The following is a 12647-nucleotide window of genomic DNA, read 5'->3' on the forward strand; positions in this document are numbered from 1 at the left end:
GAGACGGGGTTTCACCATGTTGGCCAGGATGGTCTCAATCTCTTGACCTCGTGATCCGCCCACCTCAGCCTCCCAAAGTGCTGGGATTAGAGGCGTGAGCCACCGCACCCAGCCTCTGCTCCATCTTATGGTCTTATTTGAAATACTTTCATGCATTTGGGGTACCTAGACAAGGAGAGACTAAACAAATGATAGTTTCTCCTCAGCTTCCATTATAGGTTCCATTTTAAGCCTGCTATTGTATATCAATTGCTCTTTTTTTATTGAAATGTAAAGATAGTTTAATTTTGTTTTATAAAAATAACTCCTAAGAAATAGTTCAAACATGGATATAAAATGCTGTCAATGGAAAAATGGAGAGAGGTAGAGGTATTTATATTTAGCATTTATTTATTTCTTCATTCAATAACTGTTTACTGAGAATCTCCTATTTGTTGGGATCTGTGGGGCATAAATAGATAAGATATAATTCTACTTCCTTAGAACCTGCAGTCTAAATGGAAAAATTCTAATCTTGCCCTGAACCAGCAGGAATCTGAATTCCCGTTCAGATATTTAGACCAACTTTTCTGATGGAAAAGTATTCTGTCTTCACTGTGAGGCATATTTTGAAAGACTGACAATGCTCATTGAGGTGGAAGACAGAGGCAGAGATCTCTCTGCATTAGGCATCCCTTGCTGTTTCCATTCTACCTGCTGTTTCCAAAGATAACTAGGCTCAGAAGCCCCTCTCTCATGGGTTTCTCTGAGTACATCCCAATGTTCTTAAGTAATGATGAAGTAACAGGAAAAAAAATTAAAAACCAAAGTTCAGCTATATACCAGCAATATTCCATTTAATTCTCTTAACAATGAGATGATATAGATATTTGGCTAATGAAAAACCTGGATACTAAATGGCCAAGCCAAGCCAGGATTCAAAGCCATGTCTATGTGACTCCATAGCCTTGCACTTTTAAAGTCCTAATTTTGGGGCCTCTTGCTTAGAGATACTTCTCTGTGAAGGTGGCACCTATTCTTGGCAGTGGTGGCCCAGTGAGCCCTTTGTGGGTAGCTCCCATAGGTTCCTCTCTTGCCTCTCTGGTAACTCCTTTGCTTTCTCAAACAACTCCTCAGGGATTGGACAGTGCAGTGTCACTCTCTCAGCACCAGCTCTAGAACCCTCTAATGCAGGCAGTTCTCTAGACCACTCCTGAGGCACTTACTCAGGGACTGACACCCCAGACTTGGGGCCTCCTGTCTTGAGACCACAGAGCTGGAGTTTATCACCAGTGTCTCAGGTCATCGAATAATTTGGCAAAATCTCATATTTCCCTTCATCCTCATCCTTTCTATGCCTGATATGTACACTAAACTCTGGTGGGGACTCAGCAAACATTTGAGTCAATGTTAGACAGGTGACCCGCCGCCATATCTGTTAGGCATGCATGCAAGGCAGTGCTCATCATCATGCCACCATGTGGCCTCTGGCAGTGTCCTTTGTCCCATTCTGAGGAACTGCAGGCACTGTGCTTTTGAGTCACAGTGTATCAACTTTTTGTAGTTTTAGTATCATCTCCGTTGCTTTTTACTGCTATAAGTGCACAGTCCACTTAACCTTCTGGCAAGTTAGCTGCTTTTAACCTGCCATGGAATGGATACTCAGGTATTACAATGCTTTTTTACATTATACTTAAAAAGACAGATGACAAAACTCCCAGGAAATGACTTCTCTATGAATTAGTGCATTTTTTTAAGTTTTGAATCTACCAAATTAATTGTTGCCTGTTCTAGGGGCATTTTTGCTTCCTCCGTGGTTCTCACTTATATCATGTTATTTGTGTTGCTGAGTCTTTGGAAAAAGTGATTGCAAAGGCTGTTTTCTTTTCCCTTGTTCCCACAGATTCTAGATGGGGGTTTGACCTTGTGATTTTCTGCAGTTTCTTTCCTACTTAGCCATTTTTCAGCCAAAGAGGTTTCTGCTAACATGTAGAATTCCTTTTATGAGGAATCCATGCTATCATCAGTGCGGAGTGATATGTGAGTCATAATTACTATATTCATAAAACTCCTAGAAATGTAGAATGATAAGATATTTTACAGATTAGTTTGTCTCGTCTTCTTATTTTCAGTCTGAGAAAATGCAGACCATGGAGATTAAGGGATTTGTTCAAGGTCCCAGAGATAGTGGGCTCCAAATCAGAAGAAAATCTCAACTTCTAGCTCTAAGTCCATTGCTTTTCCCTCTCTCAATACCTATTGCTTCTTCTTAAAAAGAATCAGGAATATCTATTAAATGATTGTAGATTTTATATTTAAGTTTTTGAGTAGTTAGTCTCCTGTAGGTGAGCATTCCTTGGAAGACAAAGCAGCAAAGTCAAAAATGTATGAATTTAGAAGCCAGACAGACAATAACCAAATAGAGGTTCTATCATTTCCTACCTATGTGATAATGGAAAAGCTATTTTCCATTATTTCCATATTTTATCTACACCTCAGCTTTCTGATCTGTAAAAACTGAGATTATAACATCAACATGTAGGGTTACTGTGAGGATTTTAAAAATTAATATTATATAGTGTTTAGAACAGTACTCAGCACATAGTAAGTATTCAGTCAGTGAGATGTGCAGTTCTTGGATGTCTTCTTCCCCTTTATCTGAAACAGGTAACTTTTTTTTTCCTTTATGCTTAAAAGAGTGAATTTTGTTGCAGTGTTATTATTTTAGGTTTGTGATAAATCTTACAAACAAACTAGTGTGTAAACAAGCTTAAAATACACTTTTGATTTGCACTTTTTTTTTTAAAGTCCTGATCTCATTCCCCTCATAGACTGGGGAAAGAGTGAATGTAGATTTATGAAGACATTTACATGTCATAGCCCAGCATTTCCCAAACTGTGGTCTTGGACTTAGACCACTTGCATCAGAATCATCTGTGGGGATTGTTTAAAGAAGAAGATTCCTGGACTCCACCACAGACTCATAAATACTGTATCTTCATCACAGATCCAGTGATGAAGAGGCCCAGGAACCTCTGTGTTATAACAAACACAAAATGTGTTTTTATACACTAATTTTTGAGAACCACTGTTATAGATGAATTGCCAGTGAAACTCCAGATTACTTGACCAAAAATATTACTTTAATCATGCTACTTCCCTGTTTTCTCACTTGTCTTCAATTGGCCAAGGAGGGCTATCAGGCTGTGTGAACCTTATGGCTGTCCTACCTTATGGTACACTGAAAATATGCCCCCAAAGATGTCCATGTGCTTGTCCTCAGGGTCTGGGAATAGGGTACCTTATTTGGCAAAGGAACTTTGCAGATGTGCCTAAATTAAAGATCTTGAGATGGGAAGATTATTCTGGATTATACAGGTGGGCCAAGTGTCATCAAAAGGGACTTCAAAAGAGAAGGAAGGAGAATCAGAGTTAATACATGATGACAGAAGCAAGAGACTGGAGTGATACAAGGAAGGGATCCTGAGCTAAGGAAGTTGAAAAAGGAAGGGAAACTGATTCTCCTTTCAGAGTCTTCAGAAGGAACCAGCCCTGCTGGTACCTTGACTTTAGCCCAGGGAGGCTGATTTTGGACTTCTGACCTCCAGAACTATAAGATAATACAAGGCATACTGTCCCTTTGCTCCACTCTGTCCACTACTTCTATGACTTTTTCAAAGTTCTGAATAAAACCTTTCTCTTGCCTAAAAGCCGTCCTTGGCCCTTCCAGCCAAGAGTTATTTCCCCTTCTCTGAAGTTCTAAGTCAATCAGAATCTGTGCAATTTATTGTGCATCCAGTTATGAAAAGCTCTGTCTAGGAGTGTTTATATGCAAGATCTTTCAAATCAGAACACCCAGGTTTAAATCCTGATTCTGCCACAACTACCTTGGAGAAGTTTCTTAGACTCTCCAAATCTCATTGTCTTCATTTGTATAAATCGCATCAGATGGTGAAGTTTAGAGATGCTCCACCTAGAAGTGAACTGACATGGTGGCTGAATCAGAGTCAGGACTTCACACATGTGGCAATCATGGGAGGCATTGTTCCTTCGGCATAGCTCGGATTATTGTCATAAACATGACTATTCAGACCATGTTGTTGACATTTTATTAATATGTTCATGTTTCTGTTTCCCTGTTAATCCCATGAAATTAAGCATGATAATAATTATAATGACAATAATAATAATAATAGCAAAGTAGTATAGTGAAAGGAGTATTAGGGTTTGGTTGACTTTTTTTTTTTTTTTTTTTGAGACACGTCTCTTTCTGTCACCCAGGCTGGAGTGTAGTGGCACGATCACAGCTCACTGCATCCTTGACTTCCTGGGTTCAGGTGATCCTCCCGCCTCAGCTTCCCAAGCAGCTAGGACTACAGGTGTGTGCTACTACACCCAGCTAATTTCTGTATCTTTTGTAGAGATGGGGTTTCACCTTGCTGCCCAGGCTGAGCTCAAGCAATCCTCCCTGGGCTCAAGCAATCCTCCCACCTCAACCTCCCCAAGTGCTGGGATTACAGGCATGAGCCACCACGCCCAGCCTGATTTTGGTAGTCTTTTATTTCACTTCTAGCTTTGCAATTTACTGGAATGTGGAAAGAAAAGAACATGATTTATTTATATTTAAAATGGAAATAATAATGGTACTTACTCTTAATTATTTCAGGATGAAGTAAGATTTCAGGATTAAAGTCTTAGAGTACCTAACACATAGTAAAAATTTAGTATGTGTTAACTTATTAACGGTAATTGGTATCTAATTTTCTTTTTTATTTGTTTCTATTCTATACTATGAATCTTGATATACCTGTTACTTTATATATGGCAATAATATGAGAAACAGGAGGAATAATACTGGATAAACATCTAATATTTAATGTTATGCTTTGCTATCATATGCGTTATAGGATATAAATCTCACAGACAGGGTTTGCTGTTGGAGCAATGCTCATGCTATGAATGTATGCAAGAAACACATAAAGCCTGCCTAGGAACCTCTATTCTCCCCTCACTTTTTTTGCTTCTTTCTTTTCCTTTTTCCTTCCTTTCTTTCTTTCATCACAGGTGATCATATAAATAGTTTGGTACCTTAAGTACTTTAAAATCCATTGGATTTTGGAGCAATTTTTCAAAATTTTTCAAATTTTTCAAAATTTTGGAGCAAGATTTCAAAAAAAAAATCTATGATTCAATACATTGCCATTCATCATTACCTTCCCTTTACAACCCTTCATGCTATTTTAGTGCAGATGAGAACTCTCCTATTGTAGCTAGTTTGAATTCATTTTTCAAATGAGAATTCATGAGCTACTATGCTAAAAGTAAGGTCTGTTACATCTTCTGCACTTCCATTGTCTGCTAATGTTGTAATATGATTTTTAAGTAATTGACTTTCTTTTGACACGCTTTCTTATTTAGAAACTCAGGCTTATTTGTAAATCTGTTATCTCTATAGATGTTTATATATTTTATATAGATGTTTTCTCTGTGGTTTGTTCCCTAATTATTTTAGAGAGTCTTGGAATTACTTATTTTTATGTAAGACATATAAAATAGCTCCATATGACCAAGGAAATGTGATACAAAAATGCTAGGAAAACTTGGTAGTAATACTACTTTTGTGGTTAAAGGCAAGGAAGGGAAAATCAAGCCAATTCCTATAAGAAGAAAAAAGTATACTTGAATATACTAAATAGATGCTCCTTGTCATTTAATATTTTTAAAGGAAAGAAAAATTACCTCTTCTTTTTTCTTTTGCTTCTTTTATCCAAAGAAAGACGTAATTTTATAAATAACTTGCAGGATTAAATTTACCTGAAAGGCAATTGGGAGTTTCCCCTCTGACCTGTGGAATAGTCCGTTCTTTCTGTATTCTTCCTAGAACATAAAAGGGGTAATTGCAGTGGTTGTAAGCTCCCCCTAGAAACTTTTTCTAGTAGCCCAGTGCCTTGGAAATTGTCCATGAACTTACACACACACACCACATGTGAATTTAATATGAGAAATGGAGGATTCGTTTGAAAAAACTATAAAACATGTGCTCTCTTGAGAGATTTATGCCCCTTGTGTCCCTCCTTGGCCACTGTGCATGAGTGCCATGGCTGAGAAGTAAAAGTCAGAGCTGAATGAAGCCCACATTACTTTATAGACTTGACGACCTGTGGTTTTACTCATGAATAAGCAACAACTCATGCTTGTACAAAATGCCTGTTTGTCTGGGTCTCTCTCAGTTAAAAAGAGGTATTTTAAGTCAAATAGAAAATATATTGTTTAACTTACCATAGGCTTCAGTGCAGAAATACAAGTCATATATTACTTCATAACATGGTTGCATAGAGAAGGGAAACCATATAAACAATTCAACATAATTCTAATAATGTCTTGGTTCACCCAAGATAAAATTAACCACCTATCTTAAAGAATACACTACGTTAAAAATTTATTTCTTATGTACTAAAGCGAGGATGTATTTATTACTTAGAATTTTTTCTCTGTTTTTCCCCAAAATGTGGTTTCTATAAAAAAAATCTTAATAGAGAATTTGGTATCCTTTCAAATAGACTTTTTAATGCAGTATGAAATTATATTATAATCTAGTTGATGACAAAATTACATTGGGTTATATTAACTATTAATATATATATTCCCCAAATCTGTAAACTCTTAATTTCTTTAATGAAGATCAAGTAGTCATCATTTTTTCTATGCTTGTACAAGTTTTCCCAAAAATGATTAATCATATTAATTGTTGTTTTGGAATTCCACAGATTAATTTAAAAGTAGTATATGTGGGAGGACATTTCTTGAAGAAGTGTAGTAGAAAAAGAGAATTTCTATAAGAATTATTTTTAAAGGTTGAACTCACAGAAGTAGAGAGTAGAATAGTGGTTGCCAGAGGCTGAGGGAGGGAGATGGAAAGGGAAGGAGGAGATGTTGATCAAAGAGTACACAATTTTAATTAGGCAAGAGGAATAAGCTTTAGTGGTCTGTTGTGCAGAATGGTGACTATAATAAAAATGCATTGTATGTTTCAAACTTGCTAAAGGATGAGATTTTAAATGTTTTCACCACAAAAAAAATGGTCAGTATGTGAGGTGGCAGCTTTGTTAATTAGCTTGATGTAATCATTCCACAGCGTAAAAATATATCAAAACTTCACATTTTCTCCCATAAATATATATAATTATTACTTGTCAATTAAACATTTTTAAAATGATTGTGTTTAATCACCAAAGATAGTGTCTTTTATTCTTAGTAACAACCTCCATTTTGGATTAGAATATTTGAATTTTATAGTGAAAATAATCTACAAAATCAGTTATGCATTTATCAGATAGTTTATAACAAAAATGGATGCATCACAGTCATAGCTTTCTTAGCACAGTTTTCTGAAATGACTTAATCCCAAAGTAATTTACAGGCAGACTAAATGGATTTATTATGTATAAACATCCTCATCTCACATTATCTAAGAAAAAAATTGATGTTTGGTAAAAAAAAAAATTAATTCACAATAATAACATGAGCCCTTACACTTATCAGAAAAACCCAGGTATTTACAAAGTATAGATAAAAATCTGTTTTTTAAATTTAAATTTTTTTTTTTTTTTTTTTCGAGATGGAGTCTGGCTCTGTCGCCCAGGCTGGAGTGCAGTGGCGCGATCTCGGCTCACTGCAACCTCCACCTCCCGGGTTCAAGAAGTTCTCCTGCCTCAGCCTCCTGAGTAGCTGGGACTACAGGTGCCCACCACCATGCCCGGCTAATTCCCTGTATTTTTTTTAGTAGAGATGGGGTTTCACTGTGTTAGCCAGGATGGCCTCGATCTCCTGACCTCGTGATCCGCCCGCCTCGGCCTCCCAAAGTGCTAGGATTACAGGCGTAAGCCACCACGCCCAGCCAAAAATCTGTTTTTTAATATTGCCATATTCTCACAACAAACAGCTTCTTTTCATAAATTTTAAAGTTCAAGGTAAACAGGGCACCTTTAAAAAATCTTGTGAAAGGTGACTGCCAGTGCAGGCATGGCAAATAGGGGGAGATGATCAGATGATTAAAAAAGAATGGAGAACAGATTATGAATGTTGTTGAATACAGAAAAAATTTAATATTCTCTTTAATTCTGTTCTGTAGTTAAAGGAAAGAAAGAACAGTGAGGAATAAAATAGAGAGGATACAAAAAGCAGGAGCAAAAACAGATGAAAGCCTTAAGTTCTAATGATTTTTTAATTTTTTTCAAATTGTTTTAGAGATGGGGTCTCACTGTGTCACCCAGGTTGCAGCGCAGTGGCGTGATCAAAGCTCACTGCAGCCTTAACCTCCTAGGCTCAAGCAATCTTGAGGCTTACTTATTAAAGATAAACCACTCAGATCACTCTTAGTCGTGACATGCAGAGAAGTGATTTTTTTGTTGTTGAAATATAAGTCAGTTGGTTAACTACTATAATACTTCAGTAAGGATTTCAGTCCTTAAATGTGAAAACACTTTCTTGAAATTGAGTAAATGTAACCATTAATTTTAAACTGTGATGAGCCATATACCCCACATAGCACAGCAGGGTCTCAATATGACCTGCCATGGGGGCAAGAGGGACAAAAAGTGAGAAATGTTCTGAGCAGTAACTTCTCGCATAGTCACTTCTAGCTCCTGGGCTAGAGATTCCTACCTTACACCTTGATCAAGATTTATGAGGAAGTTAAAAATGCAGAAAATGTCAAGCCCATCTCTGAAGTATGATTCCCAGTTTGTATAAGATTGTCATCTTATAATATCTAAACATTATTCTTCATATTAAAAATGTTTTCACATGAAAATTCAATGATGGCATTTATGTACTCAGTGCCCATCCCTCTCAAAGAATATCCCTGTTGTTTTCTGAGGGGCAGCTACTTTGATTTCACAATTTTTCTGGATTTTTTTTTTCACTTTTGTAGACATATAGCAGTGATTTACAATGATTGCCTCTAAAATAATTTAGAATCAATAGCTAGCAACTGGTACTCCTTCAGTAATGCCTCAGGTTTCTGGATTGGTGTGTTAGTTAGCTGTTGCCACAATAATACTGCATAATATATTACCTAAACCTGAGGGGTATTCAGGAAGTATTTATTTCTTCCTCTCAGTTTGGGTGGGGTCAGCTGGGGTTTGGCTGATCTAGGCTGCCTTCAGCTGGGCTTGGCCTCAGTTGCAGGTTGGGTCTAGGTCTACTGCACCTTGATTTCATTATTCTTGAACCAAGAGCTCTGTAAGGCAGAGTCTTCCCATGGCCTTAAGTTGCAGGTTGGGTCTATGTCCACTGCACCTTTATTTCATTCTTCTTGGGCCAGGAGCTATATGAGGCAGGGTCTTCTCATGGCAAAAGGCAGAGTAAATGCACCAAAGCCCAACCTGGCAATAACATTTTAATCCTCTGCTAGTGTACTTCTGCTAACATACTACTTGTCAGCAAAAGTCACATGGCCAAGCCTAATAACAGTGAGGAAGGAAAATATCCTTTGATTCCAGTGGTAGGTTATGCAAAGTCATATAACATATGGTATAGCTATGGGAAAGAGTATTAGAAACAATAATGCAATATACCATGTTCCACCTTCTAGATCACAATTATTCGCATGCCACCCACACACAAAATAGCTTACTTCTGTCTCATTTTGTATATAAATATAATTTTAGGAAATTCCCATACTTTTAATCATAAGTATGAAATCAAGTTCAAATTCCAGGATCTTATTATTTATACCTGTTCCAGATGCAGTTCTTCTTGATCTGGAGGCCTGTTAATTTAAAAAAAAAGTTATCTAATGCCCCCCAACACACACTCCCAACATGTAATAGTGGAGTACTTTGGTCTGTGTGCCTCTCATTGTCCACTTTTTGAACAGAATATTCATTGTGATTATCCTGTGAACAATCCATTCAAAAAGGGGGACAATGAGAGGCACACAGCAGTCATTGATTGGTCCATAGCAATTCTGAAAATTGCCAGGTCTTCCTATTCTGGAAGAAGGTAATGTTCTTTGATTAGGTGTTACTTCTGTTCCCTGGAAATTAGCTAGAGAGAAAAAGAGATTGTATCAACACTTGCCTTGGTGAATGTATTCAGAAGCCATCAGGGTCTTCAAGACAAGCAAAGAAAAAAATTTCCTTTTATTTTTGACATTTTCTGTACTTCATTAATATGACATCTCCTGGTACATAACTACCCAGGTCTTGAGATTTCTAAAGTTCTCAGTGATATGATCTTTTCTTTCTTTATCTTACTAATAAATACTTATTTAGGTTTTTGCCTAGGTAGCATATTTTAATGACCCAAGCATCAAAAAGTATGCAAATGTATAAAGTGAACATGTATTTCCCAATATATTTTTATTTTTCTTATCTTTTTTTACACACAGAATAGTAGTATACTATAAGTACTGCGCAATGTTCTTTTTTTCACTTAATATATATCATAGATTTTTCCATATCAGTGCATTAAGAGTGCCCTCATTTTTTAGAGCTATGTATTATTCCATTTAATGGACATACCATTATTTATTACAGGACAAATGAGGTGTTTCCAGTGTTTTTCCATTACAGATAATTGTTGCAATGACTAATCTTGTACGTGTGTCTTTTCACACATGGGTTAATATATTTGTAAGAAAAAAATTATAAAAGTGGAAATGTAAAGTCAAAGGGTTTAGGAGGTTTTGTTTTGTTTTGTTTTTCTGTCACCCGGGCTGGAGTGCAGTGGCACAATCTCAGCTCATGGCAACCTCTGCCTCCTGGGTTCAAGCGATTCTCCTGCCTCAGCCTCCCAAGTATCTGGGACTACAGGCGTGTGCCACCACACCTGGCTAATTTTTGCATTTTTAGTAGAAACAGGGTTTCGCCATGTTGGCCAGGCTGGTCAAACTCCTGACCTCAGGTGATCCTCCTTGCTGGGATTACAGGCGTGAGCCACCATGGCTGGCCTGGTTTATGAGTTTTTAATTTTAAAAGAAACTACTGAATTGCCTTCAGTAGAATTTCTAACAGTACTTACTCCCACCAATAATATAAAGAGGGCTTCTTTATCTACAATCTTGTCAACACTGTGTGTTAACAAACTTTTGGAATTTGCTCAATGAAGTGAAAATGAAGTTGCTTTTCCTTTTTAAGCATGAGAGAGAACTTATTTCAGGTATTAGAGAAGTTTTTGCATTTTTCTAAACAAATTTACTTTCTTATACTGGGCCTATATTTTACTGGGTTGTTGGCTTCTACTGCCTTCAGTAGATATTAGGGCTAGGCACAATGGCTCACACTTATAATCCCAGCATTTTGGGAGGCCGAGGTGGGAGGAACCTTTGAGGCCAGGAGTTTGAGACCATCTTGGGCCACATAGTAAAATCCCATCTCTAGAATTAAAGAGTTAGCCATGCATGGTGATGTGAACCTGTACTCCTAGCTACTCAGAAGGCTGAGGTGGAACGATCACTTGAGCTCAGTACTTCAAGGCTACAGTGAGCTATGATCACACCACTGCACTGTAGCCTGGGTGACAGAGCAAGACCCTGTCACTATATAAAGAAAGAAATAATAAATAAATAAAAGATAAGTGAATATTCTGTAGGACCTGCATATATGCCAAGGAAATTAGTCCTTTTTAGGTTAATTGAATTGTAAATATTTTTTGTATTATTGACTTTACTTATATTTTAAACAACTATTTAGATTTTTTTTTGTTTTCTTTAATATGGATTAATTTATTAGTTTTTCTATTATGGCTTTTAAATTTTAGGAAATAGAAAGGCCTTCCACCACTTTGAGGTTATAAAAAGAATTCTCCTGTACATTTATTCTAGTACTTTTGTTATTTTATTTTGTTACATTACTCTCTGATCCTTTCAGAATTTGTTCTGGTGTAATGTAAGATAGGGATTCAACTTTTTTCTGTATGGCCACCCAGTTGTCTTAGCACCATTTATTGTATAGCTCATCTTTTCTATACACATATGAAATGCCACTTTTATCATATACCAAAATTTCATTTATTTTTTGTGTCTGTAACTTTATATTTTGCTTCTTAAATTTACATCTCTATTCATGCAGTAGCTTCATATCATTTTAATTACTGAGGCTTTATGGTGTTTTATGTGGTAGAGTTACTCATTCTTCATTACACTTTTTTCAGAATTTTCCTGGCTGCTCTTGTTTGTTTCTTTTTCCATATAAACTTTAGAATGAGTTTATTTTGTTCTGAGAAAAAAAAAAAGTATTGACATTCAGGGTGCCATTACATTTACAAATTAGCTGTGAAAGGATGAATGTTTTTATGGTACATTTTCTTATCCAAGAACATAGTACGCATTTCTATTTATGTATTTTATGTCCCTTAGAAGCATCTTAAAAGCTTTCTTCATATGGTTCTTGCATATTTCTCATTAAGTGTTTTTCTATTTCTGATTCTATTTATGGCTTAGCATATGTGATACTAAAAAGGAAGGACTCCAGCTGTTTTAACCCTGGCTCTACCTCCAAATTCCCACAGATTAGAAGAAACAGATAGATGTTATAAGTAAGCAGATAAAAGTTTTAAGTGAAAATGAGAGGACAGGTGGGTAGAGATAGCATATTAGGTGCTAACTAGTTTTTGTCATCCCATCCAAGGAAAGCCACCAGATTTGTCTGGCACACACAACATGG

At 36.5% G+C, this 12647-nt stretch overlaps 1 protein-coding gene across 9 annotated transcripts in view, besides 1 other annotated feature; it reads left to right on the plus strand.

The window, feature by feature from the left end:
• Positions 1–12647, plus strand: part of KCNQ5 (potassium voltage-gated channel subfamily Q member 5) — a 576790-nt gene that overhangs the window by 96571 nt on the left and 467572 nt on the right. The gene's annotated exons all lie outside the window — the stretch shown is intronic.
• Positions 5991–6040: an enhancer, noted in NCBI's record as "active region_24739". NCBI's record gives its function as "activates an Ori minimal core promoter by ATAC-STARR-seq in GM12878 lymphoblastoid cells {active_cell/tissue: GM12878}" and the evidence as "EXISTENCE:reporter gene assay evidence [ECO:0000049][PMID:35858748]".

Source organism: Homo sapiens, chromosome 6, assembly GCF_000001405.40.
Source record: "Homo sapiens chromosome 6, GRCh38.p14 Primary Assembly".
NCBI classification, from domain to species: domain Eukaryota; kingdom Metazoa; phylum Chordata; class Mammalia; order Primates; family Hominidae; genus Homo; species Homo sapiens.